We start from the raw sequence: 19,827 nt of genomic DNA on the forward strand, positions 1-19,827 counted from the left end.
CTCTGTTTGCAGGACTAGAAAATCGCCACTACAGTTCTCTCTACTGAGGTTTGCTCTCATTCTGAACTTGGCTAATGTTTGGAGGGGAAATAAAAGAGAAGAAAACATGCCAGTCTTCAGAGCTTATTGATTGCTCTATTTTAAAGGACTCAAGGTATGTTCCTTTTCTTCCCACCTCCTGTAAGCTTTAAGCACTCTAGAACATCCATTAACTGACTTCTCCTACATGATTCACTTGTCAGACTTCCCAAGTCCTACTGCCGTGGGCACTTGAAGGTGAGCGAGGCAGGAGCCTGGGTTTGGATGGGTTCTGGGCATCTTAGTGCTTGGAGCAGGAGCTGCTGTTTGAGCTGGGTCATTATTTGGTGGGCCAGGATTCTCATTACTACCTTGTGATATGTTTCATACTTTTTAAAAAGCTTTTTTACTCCAAGGGAGACTTTGGCTAGGATATACAGATTTTTCATAAATTTTCAAAGATTGCAGCCCAGGATGCTGTTGCTAAGAGTTTATCAGTCAGCAGGGACCATACTGCAGCCCTGCCCTGACACTGCAACAGGGATGCGAAAGTCGTAAACAACACAGCTCGACTTCTGTGCCCAAAAAAGGCTCTGAACAGAATGAACCTTACAAAATCCAATTACTCAGTCTCTGGCAGGAAAGGAAAGCCTCTCAAAGTTAGAATAAAATTTCCTGGCAGAGAAATAGAGGAAAGGCTGCCAAGATGTCTGTGAGTATCCCAGCGCATGGTGCGGTGAGGTTGGCACCACAGCAGGCGCCTGGGCTTGGCTTGGAGGTCCGGCCCCGTGGCGGTCACTCGACTCCTCAAAGAGGGTGGCTCTTCCACAGAGACAGCTTCCTACAACTGGACCCAGCACGAGAGGCTCCGTGTCTACATTTGTTTTTCATTAATGATGGGATATGTCACAGTTTCTAGCAGGCAGGCCCTTTTAGATCACACCAGATGATCTGCGGGGCTAGGTTACACACTTTTCATGGAAAATTTTGGGCGCCTGTCTGATCATGAGGTTAACCATTCATTCTAGCTGGAAATTAATGTCACTGTAATATTGGATTCTTGTGGTCAGAGCCCAGAGCATTTTGAAGCACCACAGTTCCACTTCCCAGTAATTAGAAAATGCCATCGACCCATTGTCAGGCATCACAAGGAGGTCAAGGGCTCTTGCTGATACATGATCCTGCATGGACTGGGATGGATCTCTGGCGAACGGTCATATTTACAAATGGAAATGACTGGCAGGCTTCCTCTGGTGTTAAGCCCCCCAGTGACCAGCTCTTGGAAGGCCATAGACCACTCATGGCATCTGCCTAGCTATCTATTTTCATAGCCATATGTAGGATTATTGTCTAGTGAGACGCATTTAGCAAATATTGTAACGTGTTATATAACCATGGTGACCTCCACAAACTATGTAACCTCTCTGTGTCTCAGTTACAAAAGAAACTTTTCCTATGTTGGCTGGAAGGGTTAAATTAAATAATGCATATAAATGGCTTATAAAATTATATGGTCAAAGGAATTACATTCTAATTTTTGAAATTTTTTCAAAGGAAATTTTCAGTTTTAATGCCCAATCTACTGGGTGAAACAAAAGAGATTCCAGGTATACCTTCCCCTTTCCCAAAAAAAGATAATCAAAAGCAAAACATAGTAGCTTATCCCTTGTCCTGATACAAGCAAGCTAATAAAATCTTGTGTACTTTAGGGCAGGTAGTGCCACCTCACATACATGGTTTAACTGAAGTGTTTCACTGAAGTTAGCTGATCAAGAGCCACTTTGCACTTGACCAATCTTTAAGTGCTGCTATGCCTGGACCAAATGTGACTTCAGCCAGGAGAACCCAGGCCTTAGAATTTAGGAGCCATTAGGTCAAGATGTCTCCAGTGGTGGGTGGGGCAGCAGAAGGGTGATGGTTGATGGAGCAGGTGTTCTGCCCACCTGGTCTCTTACCACTGCCTTCCCGGCAGGAGGCAGCTGGGCTATGTGCTGAGAGTCAGGCAGTTTATCCAGACCACAAGAAAGGGTTGTCCTGGGACTCATGCCAGCAAACACCTTCCAAAACAAACATAGCCAGGTTTGAAAAGAGGCAGCCTCGGAGCCTGCCTCAGGGTGTTTCCATGGGCACTCAAAAGCTTGGATAACTTCTGGTTGAGGGTTTCTTGGAAGCAGCCTGTTGGTGTGGAAGCAGGTGGCCTGCTGCTGTGCTAGCTGTCATTGGAGACAGACAGCATGGCGGTGAGTGTGGCCAGGTGGGGAACCTGGTTCTGCGCCTGTCTCTGTGACCTTGGAAAGCTACACAGACCTCTCTACATCTTGGTTACAAAAGCAAGACTTCTTTCATATGTTGGTTGAAAGGTTAAATTAAGTAATGCACACGAAGTGCTTATAAAAACTATGTGACATTTACAGAATTCTCAATACATGTTAGCTATTCTTCTCATTATTACTGGAAAGGAAATATAAGGTATTTCACTCCGGAATAAATAGAATAATCGAGGCAGGCAGTGTGGGGTAATGGACTTCAGGTGGAAAGAGGCTGGGAAGAGTGAAGATACCTGGGTTCTGGTTGAACAAGCCAGAAAACCTCAGGGTGGCTGTTCTGAAACCCTAAAACTAGGGCCCTGGTGTTTTTCCCAAAGTGCTGCTGGGGAAACAGCTGCAGGATGTTTCTGGGGCACTGGTGTGGGGGAAGATACCCTGTACAAAGACATGTGTTTGTTTAAGTGTTAAGTACAGTTTAAAAGTTTTATTTAATGAAGGCTTGCATTATCAGAGTTGATGAGGGGGGCACGGAGTGGATTTTCAACCTGGGGCTTTAGAGTGCAGGCCTTCTGGATTGATGTGTAGTCGATTACAGATGTTTATTCCTTGGAGTGGCATCCGTAGCCTCCCCTGGAAAGATCCCAAATGGATCAGAGCTGAGGGATTTCTGTCCCAAATGCCTGGAACTGACTGGCATATTGGCATATATGGTGGTATATATAAGTCAAATTTTCTGCACATTTGCTGGTACTGATTCTTCTTCACAAGAACAATTCTCTACCTTCTAGCTTTGGTACTCACGTAGCCTTCAAGACGCTCTCCTGTCTAATATTTCCCACATCCTGGGGTTTGGATTGAGAAGGCATGGCTGTGGCAGCCACTTTGTGTAAAGTGGCAAATAGGGCAGCTTACCAATGGTCTCCATCGTGTCTCTCTCTTCAATCAAAAGCTGAGCCCTGGGTATGTCGATGTGCATTCGCAGGGTCTGCTGTTGCTTGCTTAACGTATCTGAAGTCCGGGTATTCTTACTGGGAATAAAATGGGGTAATGCATTAACAAATCCAGTTCAGTGTTAACATTCTACCAACATGCACCTGTATACCAACTTAGTTTATTGTCTAAATATACAAATACCTTGTGAGGAGGGGAACAGAAAACGTACATACTATGAAAACGTTTCCTTCATTCAAATGTTATTTATTTATTAATATTAAATTTCAGCTGGCTGGAGAGTTTCAGAAAATACAAATTGTCAATAGAGATTGGCTCTATATCTACCAATAGAATCTTTAGAAAGTTCTCATTTCTTGTGTAAATGCTAAATGAAACAAATGAAAAGCAATTAAAAACCAACAGCATTTTCATTTGTCAGATGTGAGATATTCCAGTGATGGTGAGGAATAAAGCACCAGATATTCCAAAGATGGTGAGGGAAAAAGCACGTGCACCAGCTGTTTGTCGGATGGGAGTTTTACTAATGGATTTGTATTTATATCTGGTGTCATTTTATTTTTGTTCTAGAAGCAAATCACAAACCTTGTTAGCTTCCCTGACGTTAGTTTTCCTAACTGATAGTACATTTTAGAATGGAAAAAAAGCAATTACTATCATAATTTAATCTCAAAATTTGTGTATCAGAAGATTACTCTTAGAGTGAGCTGTTCTCTAAAAGTAAATGAAAATAAGTAGTAAAACTGCATGGTAGAATCGGATTCAGTTATAGCCTGCAGTTAAAAAAAAAACTCCACGTTGCACAAAAATCTAAAAAAGTCAATAAAGACTTTAATTAGCAATCCACATTAGAAGGGTGGTTGTTCAGTCTTTACAGAATAATAAGACTTTACTAGATGTTCAAATAGTATTTACTGAAGCATCCTCTAAGAAGCAGCAGTCACTTGGATAATCCAATCAATGGCATAATCTATGGCATCCATCAATCCAGCTCAATTGTTGTTAACACTGGTTTTGAGAAAGATTTCTGGAGCCTAGTTAACTCAATAATGGTTTACCTCTGTGTTACTTTTAGTGGAGACCAAAATAGGAATACTCAATGCTACATTTTAAATGCTTTCCCCTCTAACCGAGCCATTTACCCCGAGTCCCAGGGCTGTGCCTCCACCGATCCTTCCTTGTTAATGAGGACTCATCCACTCTTAAACCAAGTGGTGGACAGAACTTTAATTATCCCAAAGTGAAGGTCACTCAAGTACCCCCTTAGATGTTTGCCTGATGAGATCCATGTATACTCCTCGTTTGAGTAAAAGCAAATTATCCCATGAAAAAGACAACTTCTGAAAGGTGCAACATTCCTACTTAGGACTTGATCTTGAACCAGATTGCTTGCTCTGCAGATAAGGAACTGGGCTATGTACCTACATCATGCTAATTATGCAGAGCCCAAATTCAAACGTTTTGTCCTGACTTTTCACATGGTCTCCAAGCTCTTTCAAATTACTGACTTAACTAACTTGTCATTCGTTGATTTTGTTAAAAAGAGAGTAATGAAAAAATTCAAATAATCAAATAAAAGGAGGAGCATTTTGGTTACTTGGGGGGCTGCATTTACGGCATGCTTAGACAAGCTATATTTCCACAAAAACATATGGGGAACTACTCCTCTGTGAATATCCCAAAGATCTGTTTAGAAACCTCACTAGGGACTTGAGCTTGTCCTTGCACCAAAAATAGAAGTGTGAGCTAGTTCCTTCTGCTCTTCATGAATAGTTATGAGGCAGTCAGCGGCTGCTCTATTAAATAGCGATGAACACCAAGTGCAGGCTATACTTAAACAACAATAAGGGGTCTGCTACCAGATTGCCACAGGAAGCAGGCTAAATAATGGCTGTGAACCACTGCGACTGGCTGGCACCAAGATTTAGAACTTGATTCAACTCTGCGAACCAGGACAACCAAGGCTGGAGGTAAATTCTTCCTCCTCAGAAGACTATAAGAAAACGGCCCAACAAGCCTTGAGATTCAGAAGCTAATTGTTTTTAGAGACAGGGTCTTGCTCTGTCGCCCAGGCTGGAGTGCAGTGATGCAATCACAGTTCACTGCAGTCTTTTTTTTTTTTTTTTTTTTGAGATGGACTCTTGCTCTGTTGCCCAGGCTGGAGTGCAGTGGCGCGATCTCAGCTCACTGCAAGCTCCGCCTCCCAGGTTCACACCATTCTCCTTCCTCAGCCTCCCGAGTAGCTGGGACTACAGGTGCCCACCACCATGTCTGGCTTTTTTGTATTTTTAGTAGAGACCGGGTTTCGCCCTGTTAGCCAGAATGGTCTCAATCTCCTGACCTCGTGATCCACCCGCCTCAGCCTCCCAAAGTGCTGGGATTACAGGTGTGAGCCACTGCGCCTGGCCGGACTCACAGTTCTTCTTTCTCTTTGCACTTGGCTGTTCCCGTTGTTTAGAACACACTTCCCCTGCTACCCCCAAAACCCACATACTGGCTCCCTTGTTGCAAGGCTGGACTCAGATGCCATCATCTTTCCAGTGGAGCCAGGCTGGCCCTGCGATGGGGACGTCTTCTGTGTCCTGTCCCCATTCTCTGTTTAATTTTGTCTGCTTGGCACTTATTACTCTCTAGCATATACTTAGTTGATTTATCTTATCCATTATCTGCCTCTCTCACTGGAAAATATGCTCCACCAGGGTTTTCTTCACCTGCTCTGTTTCCTGTGTCTCCCTAGAACTTAGAACAGTATATGGCCAAAGTAGGTGCTCAATAAATATCTGTGAAGTAAATCCTCACATTGATTTATTTTGAGGGCACAACGTGAGCTGAGTGAGATGTCCCCAAGACTTTGTTTTGAGGCAATAATATCCTTCTCATTCTAAAAGGTCACTGGATTCCAACTAAGTTATTTCATTACTTAATATTTGCTGTCACTTTTGACAATCTATTGTTACATTTATATTTATCACTCTGTGTTCTGTTAACCTCAAAAATGATAACAATTGGTCATTAGAATGGCAGCAAACCTTAAAAAAGTGATTTGAACAAACCTCATTTGCAACCTGGAAAAACAGTCCAAATGTTTTCACTGTGGAAGCAAAAATTGCATCTTTTTTGCATGGCATAGGATCATGCTAAACATATTAGTTATTATTGAGCTATAATCTTCAACCATCCATTTATTTGCCATCTGGTTGTTTGAATAAAATGAGAAGAAGAGGAGAGCAGAGACGGTTTCATAGGGCAGAGAATTTCCCAGCTTAGCCAATCAATTATTTGCAGCCACTGCCACTCTTCAAAGTCTTAATAGTCCATCATCCTCCCAAATATGACACAGAACATTCCTTAAATGTACAATGACTATTGGACTATTAGGAGCATAGCTCATTATAACACTAGGGTAGAGATTTTTTATTATGTGCACAAAAATATGAACATCAAAAAAGCTGAACTAATTTGAACCTTTTTCTGCTTACACCCAACTCACTCGCTAATGCTGATTCCTGGACCTTAAACATTATATGTTAGCTCTCTACAGTATACAGTTATCTCTTTGGAGCAAACACCTCTTAGAAGGCTGTTTTTTAAAAATAAAAATCTTACATAAAAATATAAAAGGACAATCTTTCTGTCTGGGTGTGAGGGATGCAGTCTCTCTTCTCTGGGGTGATGTGCATGGGTGAAACAGGTGGATATCTAGGAGCATGAAGCCCAGCAATGGGTGATGCTGCCAGGCCAGGAATCCCTGGGGACCTAGACTGAGTGGGTATGTTCTGCTGTCCAATCTGCCTTCCTGGCCTGGCCCTCAGCTAATCTCCCTGAAATACGCAGATACTTCTTGGTAGAAAATGGTTGAAAAATAAATGTTACATCCATTTAGAACACAGAATGTGGAGTGATAAAGCTAGAAACAATGTTGAATTTTTTATTTTATTTTTATTTTTTAGGTAAGGAAAACAAAGCGGTAAAATGACCTACTAAGATCTGAAAACCAGCTTATGGCCACATGGGGCCTAGAGCACAGACTTGTGGTTCGTATTCTCACTGTACCAGGCTGCCAGTTCCTTTGACTTCTAGAGAAAACAGCAACACAGACCAGGGGTAGCTGTTCAGTATCTTTCTCTCTGCCAGTGGACATGATTTGTCTGGACCCCCTGGGCCATGTCCAAATATGGTTGATTCTAAATTGACCAGTTAGGTAATGAGGTTTTTGTTTGCTTGGCCCATTCACCTGCCGAACTTAGATTGAACCAACCTTTCATGGGTAAAAGCTTTGCTTTTACTTCTAAATTAATCCCATACAAATCCACCTATTGGAGGAGCTTGAAAATTCTCTTCCTTTTCAATCACTTTGACCATTTGAAGGAAAACCACTGTAACTATCATAAGTGGTTGTGATTACTGGCTTTACTCTTCCTAATTCATGCTGGTAACTGGCAATAGGAAGACCATAATTAATTCCTCCTCTTATCAACAGATGGTCTTGCAACCACAGCAACTGCCCTATTCATAGAGGATGCTTGCTAATGTCTTTCTCAGAGGCTAGGGAGAAGGAGTAGGAATGTACTCTAGAATATGAGGAGAAGAGAAAAAGCAAATCATCCTAATTGAGCAAATGTTGAACATGTCAGAAAATATAGCCCGCAGTTTCACAGCCTCTGGACAAAGGCATGATTTACAGTTTGGGAGTAGATAGGGGAGGGGGCCAGGGTAGGTTGTGCAGAGCACAGTTGAGGGGAGGAGAAGCTCTCTGGAGGGCTGAAGGAGCCCTGCTCAGTGTACGGACTGGTGAAGCAGGCCCGGGGTGGGGTAGGGGTGGGGGCTGCGGTGGTGAGCAAACTCACGCCATTCTAAAGGGCTACTGTGCCTACCTCCAGGCACCATTATCACCTCCGCGGTGCTAGTATGGCCAGGGCATTTTCAAGAGAAATCAGAAAGCCAAATTTTATGTGAAATCTCCTCATTTTAAATGTCATCAACTAATTCATATTTTTAAAGTCTACCTTTGACAATTTCTTTTATTAGGTAGATCAGTTATTACAAGTCATGTGACTCTGACTTCTTTGTTTTCCAGCTTCTTTGTGTTAAGCAGATCTTTGTTTTATCAGATCTGCTTAACACAAGTGCATGTGTGTTTGGATGTGTTCCCTGTGACCCATAAATGTCACATAAACAAAAAGCACGGGCTGAAGGCATCTCATGCAATTTCTGTAATCTTCTCCTGGAAATGTGATGAAGTACCCCTTATGAAGGAGATACTGTACAGGGAATTTGCATCTTTGCTTTTCCTCTGAGCTCCAGATTTCTGCTACCAGTTGTCTATCTGACATTTCCTCTGGATGCCTTAAAAATAATCCCAAATTCAACATGACCCAAATAGGTCTTTTCATTCCCATCAATACCTCCTCCCAACCTACCTTCCAAAAAAATCAAAAGTCCATAGCCTGCCTCTATCTTCCTAATCTTGGCAGATGGCACCAACATTCATCAGATCAGTCACAACAAATGTATTTTAGAGTTATCCTTCCGTGGTGGCTCATGCCTGTAATCCCAGCATTTTGGGAGGCTGAGGCGGGAGAATTGCCTCAGGTCAGGAGTTCGAGACCAGCCTGGCCAACATGGTGAAACTCTGTCTCTACTAAAAATACAAAAATCAGCCAGGCATGGTGGCGGGCGCCTGTAATCGTGGCTCCTCGGGAGGCTGAGGCAGGAAAATCGCTTGAACCTCTGAGGCGGAGGTTGCAGTGAGCCAAGACCGCACCATTGCACTCCAGCCTGGGCGACAAGAGCAAAACTCTGTCCCAAAAAAAAAAAAAAAAGAAAAAGGAAAAGACTTATCCTTCATATCATTGTTTTACCTACGATTCACATTGTTTTGAAATACGGTATGGCCAAACAAAATGTCTGTAGGATGGAATCTGTGTGCCAATGGCATTCTACTACTGCCTTCGGTCTTCAAAGATATTAGTGATATGGAACATGGGAAGTTTTTAAATAACAAAGAGTACTAATTTTATATGTATAGATGGAGGAGGAAGTCACAGGCAAATGTGTTGGTGATGGGAGTGGGAAGAGGTCCTAGATCCACCCTCTCTCTCCCACGTAAATCATCCTAAACTGGCAATGTTGAGTTCACTATCGGAGTCCTTGACATTTTCCCTACTTATTTCCTAGACTCTGATTTTCCTTTTTCACTTTTCATGTAATCATTGCAATATGAAAGGCCTAAAATGCAAATATCAGGGTGAGGTAACACATCAGGCAATTAATCCATACGTGTAAATGCTTCATATCAGAGTGTTCTAGTATTTACAGAGTAAAAAGGTTGGACAGCACAAGAAAACTGAACATTTGAAGAGGGGGACTGGGTGGAAAATAGAGTTTGGGGACGTGAAAGTAACACACTTGTCACAGCTTTGCCAATCACAAGCCTGTGGACGTGTGAAAGGAAAGCTGTGAAGGATGCATTTCTGTCTTCCACAGTTGTGAACATTCTCGTACTCATTCAATAACCACTCTTCATTCATCCCCTCCACGGTTATGAATGGGGCAACTACTGTGCTGGCTACTCCTAACACGAGGATGAACTATGAAGGCTGTGACTTCCAGGACCAGAATAGACAGTGAACAGACAGTGGTAAGAGGAGCTGAAGGGTGCCCTGGTGGAGGGTGCTGATGGAGACACAGAGCCTTTGAAGAGCATGGGGCATAGCACATTCCTTTTGTGCTTTTCTTTTAACTTGGATTATTCTGTTAGAAAGAAGGCTTGACCTCACCAGTAGTAAATTTAGATGAAGGCAAAACTAAAGCTACTTCCTCTTTACGTGCTTCTGTTCCCAGGCTAATGGGAAGCCTTCTATTGGTTGTGTCCAGCCAACAAGACAACTACCTGTGGCATGTCTACAAATACATCATTTTCATCTACACCTTCAGCTAGGCATTACATGGATATTTTGGAATGTATAGGAAATTACAGTTTTTTCTAAAAAGAAAAGACATTATCAATTTCAGACTGCCATTATTAAAAAAATAGAAATCATCAAGGCAAGTTGGAAATTGTTCTTTCAAACATGATATCTGGGGTGCTAGGTCTTGTTCTTACCTCATGAGCATTTCAGCTAAACTCTTTGCATCTGGGGAAAGAAAGTTAACATTAGTACATGGTAAATAACTCATTAACATTCACTTAGGCATTTATGACAAATACTCTACAGTCAGATCAGAACAGTCATTTTGAAACACAATCATATACCCAGCTCACTACTAATGACCTAGAGTTTCATGGAGTCCTTATTTCTTCTAAATGGGACTTTTAAAATGTATTTTATTAATTACAAAAATATCAACATAACTATCCTATGATTATAACATTCTCAGACATCTACTAAATGTTTTATTCCAACCTACAGTCACTTCTAGGAAATCCAATTTTATTTTCAGTAGTCAGAAAATTAACATTTTGAGGGTATATCATTTACGTTGAACAAACCCATGCTTTTTGTTATCAAAATATCAGAAGTAAGTGGCATTATTACAGAGCTCTGAGTTCCTTGGGTTGACCAAAGAATCGTATAAATGAAATATAAATGTTCCTGGAAACTTAGATGTTTATTTTGAATTCAGAAATTAAAAAAACTTTATTTTTTTTTTCTCTGAGCACATTGTTTACCAAGACCGGGTTACCACTCTTGACAGAAGGAATCCTGACTAAAAGTGTAGGAAAAAAAAAATCCCTTTTTTTGGTGGTGTTATTTTGAAATTCCCGTTTCCTTTAAAATATAATTTATTCTTTTTACACATTTGGTCCTGGCAAAAATGAATGTTTCCTTACTTAGAGCACAAAAACCTTCTTTTTGTTTTTATTTCATTGCTCTCTAAAAAGTCTTGATGCTAAGTATACTGTTCAATGAACAGAACTTTCCGGAAATGGACTCAGCTGACAGTGTGACCAGCTCTGCAGTGAAAGTATACGTATGTGGGAGCATTTCCATCTCATGCCTTTGGGGGCTGACAATTAAACGTAGTCAGTTTCTGCACAGTGGGCAGCATGCTATTTCTGAAAGACGTGGACAGTCACAGAATGACCACGTAGAGGCTGTCCTTGCCATGAGCCAAGCTTAGTTCGTTAAGTTGGCCAGTCCCAATGGTAACCCCAAGATGGGGCCTGGTTTTGTGCACAGATGGGTTCAGCCTGGGCAATGAAACAGGGCCCATATACTCCACCCACACAGCAAAGAAAAGAAATCAAAATAGGATTGGATTTCCCAGTTCATGTCTTTATATTTATCTGCAAAGACACAGTAAATATAATGAATTTCCTCTTTCCCTGAATGATTTAACACTTACAAAGTATATATATATATATATGTGCTTATATATACTTCATGTATGTATATATATATACATACACACACACACATATATATACACATACATATAATGCCAGAAGCCTGGACTTAATTAGCTCCAATGAACTACCAAGCAGTGGCTGGTACAATACTCTAAAAAGGGGGAAACAAATTCAAGGAGTAAACATCCCACTTCAGTTCACACTTGAAAGAGTTCTCAGCCTCAATTGTCTTCTGATCAACTGCTTTCCTCATTCTGCCCGCCACAATAATCTCTCCTTTTCCTATTCTCGGTCAGTCATCACAGCTCTCTCCTATGAGCTGTTCATGGCAATGTACTAAGGAATTGCGGAGTCCAGCAGGGAGAAAAGAGCTCCCCACAATGACTGCCATGCCGACAGCAGACCTCTCTTGGCTGCCACGTGCAGGCATCCTCCCCAAGGCTAAGGTCTTTCACAGGTCTAGATGCCAAGGGTTGACCGTTTGGGTCAACCCTTCCCTAAACCTAACACTGACCCCACCTTAAAGGAGCATGGGACGTGGGGAGCTTTGCCATGAATGGGCAGTGTGCTCCATGCAGAGAATTCACATGCATCGGAATTATGAGCCCATTTGAGAAGTAAAGTCTAGGTCAATTTGACTGGACAGAGAAGTTGCCAGGATGGTGGTCTGGTGCACAGTCTAGACATTAAAGAGCTAAGGAGATGTGACTTTGTATTACTGACCTGAAAGCTTCTACCTGGGCCAAAGGGAGAGAGGAAAAAGGAGGGCAGAGGTGGGTGGTGGATGGGTGTGGGTGCTGTGAACTAGCATCCACCAGGCAATCCAGAATGCTCTGAATGTGGAGGTGGGGGCCTGGGACTTGTTGAAAGCTTCTTAGTCCTTAGTCCAAGTGAGAGGCTCTGGGCATTAGAGAAGAGAGCCAGGGTTATGTGGGTAACATTATAATGTGAAGATAGAGGAAATCTGTACGAATCAGAGTCCTACCAGGTGTACAGTGGGACAAGGAGGAGTTGCAGGGAGTCCAGGAAAAGGGCAAGATTTGGGATATGCAGAGCTGGATGTAGTAACATGAGTGACAGGAATGGACTAGAACAACATGGAAGCAGCAATCTTGGGAGAGACTTGTCTAGTTTCAATATCGGGGGACATTAGGTGAGGCTGTTCAGAGGCAAATTTGGAATCAAATTTGGAAAGATGCCAGGGCTGAGATGAGGGTCTGGGTGTTTTTCATATCCCCATAGAGAGAGTGCAAAAAGAAGATGGCAAAATCTCATCTGGGACACACTTTTGTTGAGGGTGAGAAGAGAGTCTGAGACAAGCCAAGAAAAAAATTTAAAGTCCCGGAATCACAGAATCTTAAGAGCAATAAAGACTTTTCAGATTGGCCACCTAATGAATGTTGGAATCCCTTTCACAATGTCTTACACAGACGTACACATATTCTCTGTCTGCATGAATCCAGAGCTGGGGCCACTGCCACTCCACGGTTGGGGTCGGTGCTCCTGCTGCACACCTAGTGTCCTTCCTCTCCTCCCAGTACTCTCCTGCCTTCCAGGTCTGCAGGTCTCTCCCAGCCAGCATGTCCCCAGGGGAACCTTTGTTTTTTCTCTTCTCAGTCCTAATCTCACTTATTAGTCAGCATCCTTACTGCTGGTGTGCCCAACACTGATACCCACACTGCAGGAAGGGTGAAGACTGGAATCCATCTTACTGAGTGATACCTGTGCTTTGAAACCTTCAAAGGGACCTCACTGCAACAGCCCTCATTAGCACAGAGAACCCACCTTCCGTGCTGGTCCAAGCTGTCATCCGGCTCCGCTGCCGCTCACTTGTAACCTCCAACCTCTCTCTGAGTTTCCTGCACTTGCCACTTTCTGCAGAGAGCCCAAGACTTTGCTAGTGCAAAGCCCTCCATCGTCCCCACCGCCCCATGCAGACGCAACTTGCTCCGTGTACCCTCCCATGCCCAGTAGGCAGGGGTGAAGCTTCGGTTCCCTCCGCTTCCCTGGACCTCTGCCTTATATCTCAGACAGCCCTTCCCAGCTCATACTGTGCCCACCTGTTTTCGGGTTGTCTTTCTCTTGGCCCTTTTGGGCACAGTCCTGTCCCTGATCCATAGTGAAGCTGCACAAAGATTTCCTGAGGACACATTTAATTGTGAGAGACATCTTCCTTTTCTTGTGCAGAAATTCCTTGATGTAATTTTAACCTGAAGTCATTTGCCAGCTGTTCAGATATTTCCATGTAGCTGCATTTCCCTTGCTTGGCCTCAGCTTTCTCTTTTCTGGGTTACATTCTCTAATTTTCTCAGCCACTCCTCATACGGAATGATTTCTAGGTAATTCCCTACTTGGGAATCTCTTCTTTGAAAGGTTTGTGATTTTTTTATTTCTCTATAAAATGAGGCTGAGAAAGACGCTGGTAATTCTTGATCTTCTAGCACACTAGGGAGAGCACAATGCTCATTATACGTGTTGCAAATGAATTTTTTTTTACAACTTCTATAGAAGACTTCACAATTATTCCTATTAAACTGTATCTTCTTGCTTCCAGCCTTTCAAAATCTCTTAAAATGTGGATTTGTCCCTCTAATACATTAGCTTCCCCACCAGGATGTATGTGGCCTCCAAGATTGGATTAGCCTGCCCATGCTTTCAGCTACATCCTGGTGTACCCTTATTAATCAGCCCTGTCAAAATGCAAATGGAGTTTGTCTGGGCCCCTGGTGGTCCCTTCCCTTCCCTGATTGCTCACAAAACATCCTTTCTATAACCTCAACTAACTTATTTCAGTCTATAATGTCCAGAATTAATCTATTGTTGTTGAAAATGGGTCCAGGGTCTAGATGCTCTTTGACTTACGATTACCTCCTGATGAACCCATCATCAATTGAAAATATAATTAAGTCAAAAATGCATTTAATATGCCTGACCTACCAAACATCAGGGCTTAGCCTAGCCTATCTTCAACGTGCTCAGAACATTTACCCTACCCTACAGTTGGGCAAAACTATCTAACACAGAGCTTATTTTATAATAAGGTGTTGAGTATCTCATGTAAAAATAATGGATCACATATCACTAACCCAGACAAAGATCAAAATTCAAAATACAGTTTCTACTGAATGCATATCATTTTTGCACCATTGCAAAGTCAAAAACTCCTAAGTTGAACCATAGTAAGTCAGGGACCATCTGCATAATCATTTTCTAACACCTCTAATTTACATTTGATTGTTCAAAGGTTATCCAGAAAGATCTTGGGGTTATGTCTGGAAAAATTTTGTTCAGAACCCTAAAATGTTATCCTTCAGAATCATGGGACTGGAACCCCATGACAGCTTCCCTAATTTTTTAAGTGGTGGAGATCTTTCCTTTCAGTGAAACAGCACAGCATTTATTCTGTCTGCATTAGGCTGCTTACGCTTTGGAACTTGTGTAATAGTTCTTTGTAAACATTGTCTGCAAAAAGCAACATCTCCACCTCCACATAATGGCTAATACAGAGTATGTTTTGAAAAAAAATAAATCCTTTTAAACTATCAGGGTGCTGATTATTTTCATAAGCATCCTGAGTTTCTCCCTTCCCCTCCCCTCCCCTCCCCTCATTCCCTCCCTCCCCTCATTCCCTCCCTCCCTCCCTCCCTCCCTCCCTCCCTTCCTTCCTTCCTTCTTTTTATAATTCCTGGTCCACGTTTTCTGATTCAAATAGCATTTCTCCTGGTACACATCAAGCAAAGCAGATGCTGAGCAGCTCTCCTGTCTACCTGCCATCTGTTAATATGAGAACATTGTTCACAGCCTTGTTCTTCTTGCCCAAACACAGCTAAACAGCCCTTGCATTGCCTGTCACATTTTTTCCCACACATTTCAGATCAGCCTGAGATTCAGACTTCGCGACATCTTTTCTAAAGCCGCTTGCTACTCCCACACTTCCATCCTTGGCTCTGGGCTCCTCCCTTATCTGTTGGGCTGGGAAATGATGGAGAAATGATACCAGGATAATCTAGTGATATTAAAATGTGGAAGGAAGGAATTTCAAAAGACAACATTTGCTAACACTCTGAATGCTGCAAAGAGGGCTAAAAAATGATGGCTGAAAGGATAATTTGGAGATCAGAGAATAACTGGTCATCTGTCTTCAGGAGAACAGTTACATTTGGGTGGCGAGTGGAAGGGGACTGTGGGAATTTGGGAGTAATTGAGAGGTAGTGTAGCTGAGGACAGAATACTCTCAAGTATTCAGTGGAGAAAAGAATCAGAGAGACAGTAGGATGAAGATATGCAAGCTAGAAGGAATATGTATATGTGCCTCTCTCTGTATATAATATATACATATTTAAAATATAATTAGGGGAAGGCTGAAGGGTAGTGAATATCGAAATACAAAATCAATAGACCAAGTATTTTTGATGGGCAAACATAAAATTATATAGTAGCTATTGATACTGTGTTAATACATCTTCTAATTCCAGGTATAATTGATAAACCTTTAGAGCTTACTTAATATTGATGAGACAACCTGTTTCTTACTTGAATATTCAAAATCCTGCAGAAGTTTCATGGCAAGAGGAGTAGGGTAGGGAGATTGATCTGAACTCTCTTCTAGCTCTGCCTGGACTCATATGTGATTCTGGATAATTCTATAGCTGGCCTTCAGTTTTCACGTCAGAAAATGGGGTATGATGGCTGGACGCAGTGGCTCATGCCTATAATCCCAGCACTTTGGGAGGCTGAGGCAGGCGGATCACCTGAGGTTGTGAGTTCGAGACCAGCCTGACCAACTTGGAGAAACCCCGTCTCTACTAAAAATACAAAATTAGCCGGGCATGGTGGTGCATGCCCACAATCCCAGCTACTTGGGAGGCTGAGGCAGGAGAGTCGCTTGAACCCAGGAGGTGGAGGTTGTGGTGAGCTGAGATCATACCATTGCACTCCAGCCTGGGCAAAAAGAGCAAAACTCTGTCTCAGAAAAAAAAAAAAAAGAAAAAGAAAAGAAAGAAAATTGGGGCATCATAATGGGCAGTTCATACTCAACCATTTTGCATGGCTATTGAGAGACTAAGGCAGGATGGTGTATAGTGAAGTACTATGGAGAAGAAAGAGGAGCGAAACAATGGGAAGCATTAGTAGCCTGTGGATTAGTACATGGTTAGATCGAGTTTTGGGAAATGGCACCTCTGGTTGGATGAGGAGGCTCCCAGCTTGGTCTTGCCCAGTTCCTGTGTTCTGTTTATAGACCACAGCTTGCATCCTGGGGTTGTGCCTGGCATGAAGGTGCACATCAGCAAGGCAGAGCATGACACAGCATGGCGTGGGAGAGTGCCCACCATGGCCCCAGGCACTGCAGCTGTGCAAAGCTTGAGAGGCTGAACTGCCTCACATTTTGCACACTCAAATGCTTCTTTAAAAAAGAGAAATCTTGTTTATAGCCACATGGCTACATTTTCATATCTGAAGTTCTAGTTACGTAAAATGGAAGACGCTTAGGTTAATACTTCTACTGGGCAGTCACTTGCAGATATCCACAAAAAAACTTTCTGAGGGTGGCAGATTTTGACCTTATATTACCATCCATCAAAAGGTTTTATTTGCAGCCTCTCCCTCAACAGTCCCTGCCTTTCTGTGGAATTGAAATAGTCTCATAAAGTAGCTATTTTTGCAAGGGCTATAAACCTGCATTTATGTTTTTATAAGATCCCAAATAGGACTTCCAATCATCACAATGCTCAGATGAAAGCTAATTTGAAAACTGTGGCAGACATATATTAAAAAAAGAAGGCCATATATACTGGTAATCTGAAAAAACTGCATGCACAGACACAGACAAAATAGGACACCCAGGCAAGGCAGAGCTCCAGGGCCCGGCTGAGACCCACAATCCCCTCCTGACTACCCACTCCCTGGCTCCCCTCCACTGGTAGCCCTCGACTCCCCCTCACCCCCATGCTCTTTTGCTTCCCGCTGTCAGATGCAGAGAGCCTTTTCTATTCAGTTTGCCATAACAAGTTTGATGTTTTAAGAGAATAATTTCATTAAGAAACCAAGACAGAAAGAAAGAGAGAGGAAGAGAAAGAGAGAGGGAGAGAGAGAAAAAAGGAGAGAGAAGGGGAAAGGAAGGAAGGAAGGTAGGGAAGGAGGGAGGGAGGGAGGGAGTGAAGGAGGGAGGGAGGGAGGGAAGGAGAGAGAAGGAAGGAAGGATAGAAGGAAAGAAGGAAGGTAGGGAAGGAGGGAGGGAGGGAAGGAGGGAGGGAAGGAGAGAAAAGCAAGGAAGGAAGGAAAAGAAAAGAAAAGAAAAGAAAAAGAAAGAGAAAGAAAGACAAAGAGAAAGAAAGAAAGAAAACACAAAGCACAGAACTAAAGAGTTTCAGAGTACAGGCTTCTAATGCCATCTTAGCCACACTTGGTAACGAAAGCTCTAGGGTGCATGTGTGCTACTCATGCATTAACAATGTGGGCTTCCCACATTCAGGGTGGCTTTATGCATTAGTGCTGGGGCATCTATTGAAACTTTGAGTCTATCTCAAGTCTGAGTGTCACTGGGTTCCTGGATGCACATTCCTGCTTTAGGTTAGTAAAGTTCAAGTTACCTTTTGGTTTTCCAAATGAGGGGAGCTTTGGGCTCATTTGCAGAGCAGATAAATGTCCTGTTAGTACTCAGAAAATAACAATGATTTCTCATAACCTACCCCTTAATCTGCCTGCATAGCACCATGAACCCAGATCCTCTCTGGGAACAGTCTCTTCCGGAATTGATCAGTTTTGTAACAATCCATTTCAAAGCATGTTTAAAATAATAAACACATTTCCATTCAAGAGAAGCAAGACACTCTGCCACAAAAGCATGGTCAAATGTGACATCACTCACTGATTTTTATCTTTAGCTTATTTGAAGTCCTGCAGGTTGACCCACACTAACTGGTGCCAACAGAAGCTTGTGCCTTCTTGCGTAAATGCGTACCAAAGGAGGAGGCTTTTAGAAATATTGGAGTTGATTACTTGACACGGGATCACATTTTATAAGGTTAGGGCTGCTGGGATCTCAGGCCCAACCAGTGACTCACTCTATAACCTTGCACTTCAAAGGATCTAGAAGTTCAAGAAAAACCAGGGCATCATTAAAAGCAAAATGCGGCTCCTGAACTCCTGGATAAGGTTATAGATTTAAAAAAAAATGTGGGCACTTGCAGGCAATTTAGAGTTTAGGAGGTCGCCATGCTCTAAAATTAGTAAAGTACTCAGGAAGAGAGAATATAGGTTGACGACACTGCTAGAGTCCCATTTTCTTTCTTTCTTTCTAAAATTTTACATAAAATAACATTATATTATATTCATCTAACTAGGTTACTTGTCTATACAGTAAAACATACTCAGCTTATAAACATTTTTGCTGTTTCTAGCAATTGAAAAATGTGATCAATTTCAACCATATAAAATTGATCCCACCTAATCACTCTAAAAACATCCACTGGGGATCCCTATAATATTTTTCTATAATTCAAATCTCCTTATTTCCATTTTTGATCCTGATAGATGGTTGCTCACGCAACACTGACATGTTACTAGAAATGTTGTCCTTAATTTTGACAATCAAAATATTCTGTCTGTAGAGTCTGTAAATATATTTGAACTTATTCTCCCAGAGGCACAGAGTCTGTACCTTATGTGGGTTCGCTTGTTATTGGGTGATTCGACTAATGCACTCCGGATATTTAATAGACAGGCACCTATTCCTTTAAACTCTGCAGCTGCAATTTCCCTCCATGAGTGAGTTGAAAATACTTTGTATCATTAATGAACATTTCAGGGCCCTGCAGGGCTAAGAAACAAACGTCTTTCTGGGGCAATGCCTGACCTTTCATCGATTCCCCTTTACCACCCTCACCTCTGGCGCTGTCCTTTTATGGCAGTGCTTTGCACAGTTACGGAGATGAGTCTGCCCCTTGCAAGCCTTGACCCACTGCCACTACAATGTCACCTTTATAGTTCTGAGTCTTAGAAATCTCTTCTCTCTCTAGGACCTGGCTAAACTCTTGTGATCAAATAGAAATGGTCAACCAGCAAATGTTACCACTAGTTTAAAAAAAGGTTCCATCTTGCACCTGGTAGATAATCTACAGTGGTTTGTCAAACTGAATTTATTGCAGTGTGTCTACATTAAAACTTGCCATTCAGAAGTGGTGTGAAATTGGGTACCCAATCCTTGGCATCCTGACCGCCCTCCTGTCAGATTCTTTT

At 42.3% G+C, this 19,827-nt stretch overlaps 1 protein-coding gene across 4 annotated transcripts in view, besides 1 other annotated feature; it reads right to left on the bottom strand.

The window, feature by feature from the left end:
- DSCAM (DS cell adhesion molecule) overlaps positions 1-19,827 on the bottom strand; it is an 836,160-nt gene that overhangs the window by 41,529 nt on the left and 774,804 nt on the right. For all 4 annotated transcript variants that reach the window (NR_073202.3, NM_001271534.3, NM_001389.5 and 1 more), the window contains 2 exons: positions 10,342-10,372; positions 3,198-3,313 (listed from right to left, as the gene is read on the bottom strand). Coding sequence is in view for 3 of the 4 variants with exons in the window: in NM_001271534.3 (NP_001258463.1) it covers positions 3,198-3,313; positions 10,342-10,372 (147 nt within the window). In the remaining variant the exon portion in view is untranslated. The remainder of the gene's footprint in view (positions 1-3,197; positions 3,314-10,341; positions 10,373-19,827) is intronic.
- Positions 11,947-12,114: a silencer, noted in NCBI's record as "fragment chr21:41436401-41436568 (GRCh37/hg19 assembly coordinates)". NCBI's record gives its function as "represses an EF-1alpha promoter that drives an FKBP-Casp9 reporter gene in an ReSE screen in HepG2 liver carcinoma cells {active_cell/tissue: HepG2}" and the evidence as "EXISTENCE:reporter gene assay evidence [ECO:0000049][PMID:32094911]".

The sequence above is a fragment of the Homo sapiens genome, chromosome 21 (genome assembly GCF_000001405.40).
Source record: "Homo sapiens chromosome 21, GRCh38.p14 Primary Assembly".
Lineage (NCBI taxonomy): Eukaryota > Metazoa > Chordata > Mammalia > Primates > Hominidae > Homo > Homo sapiens.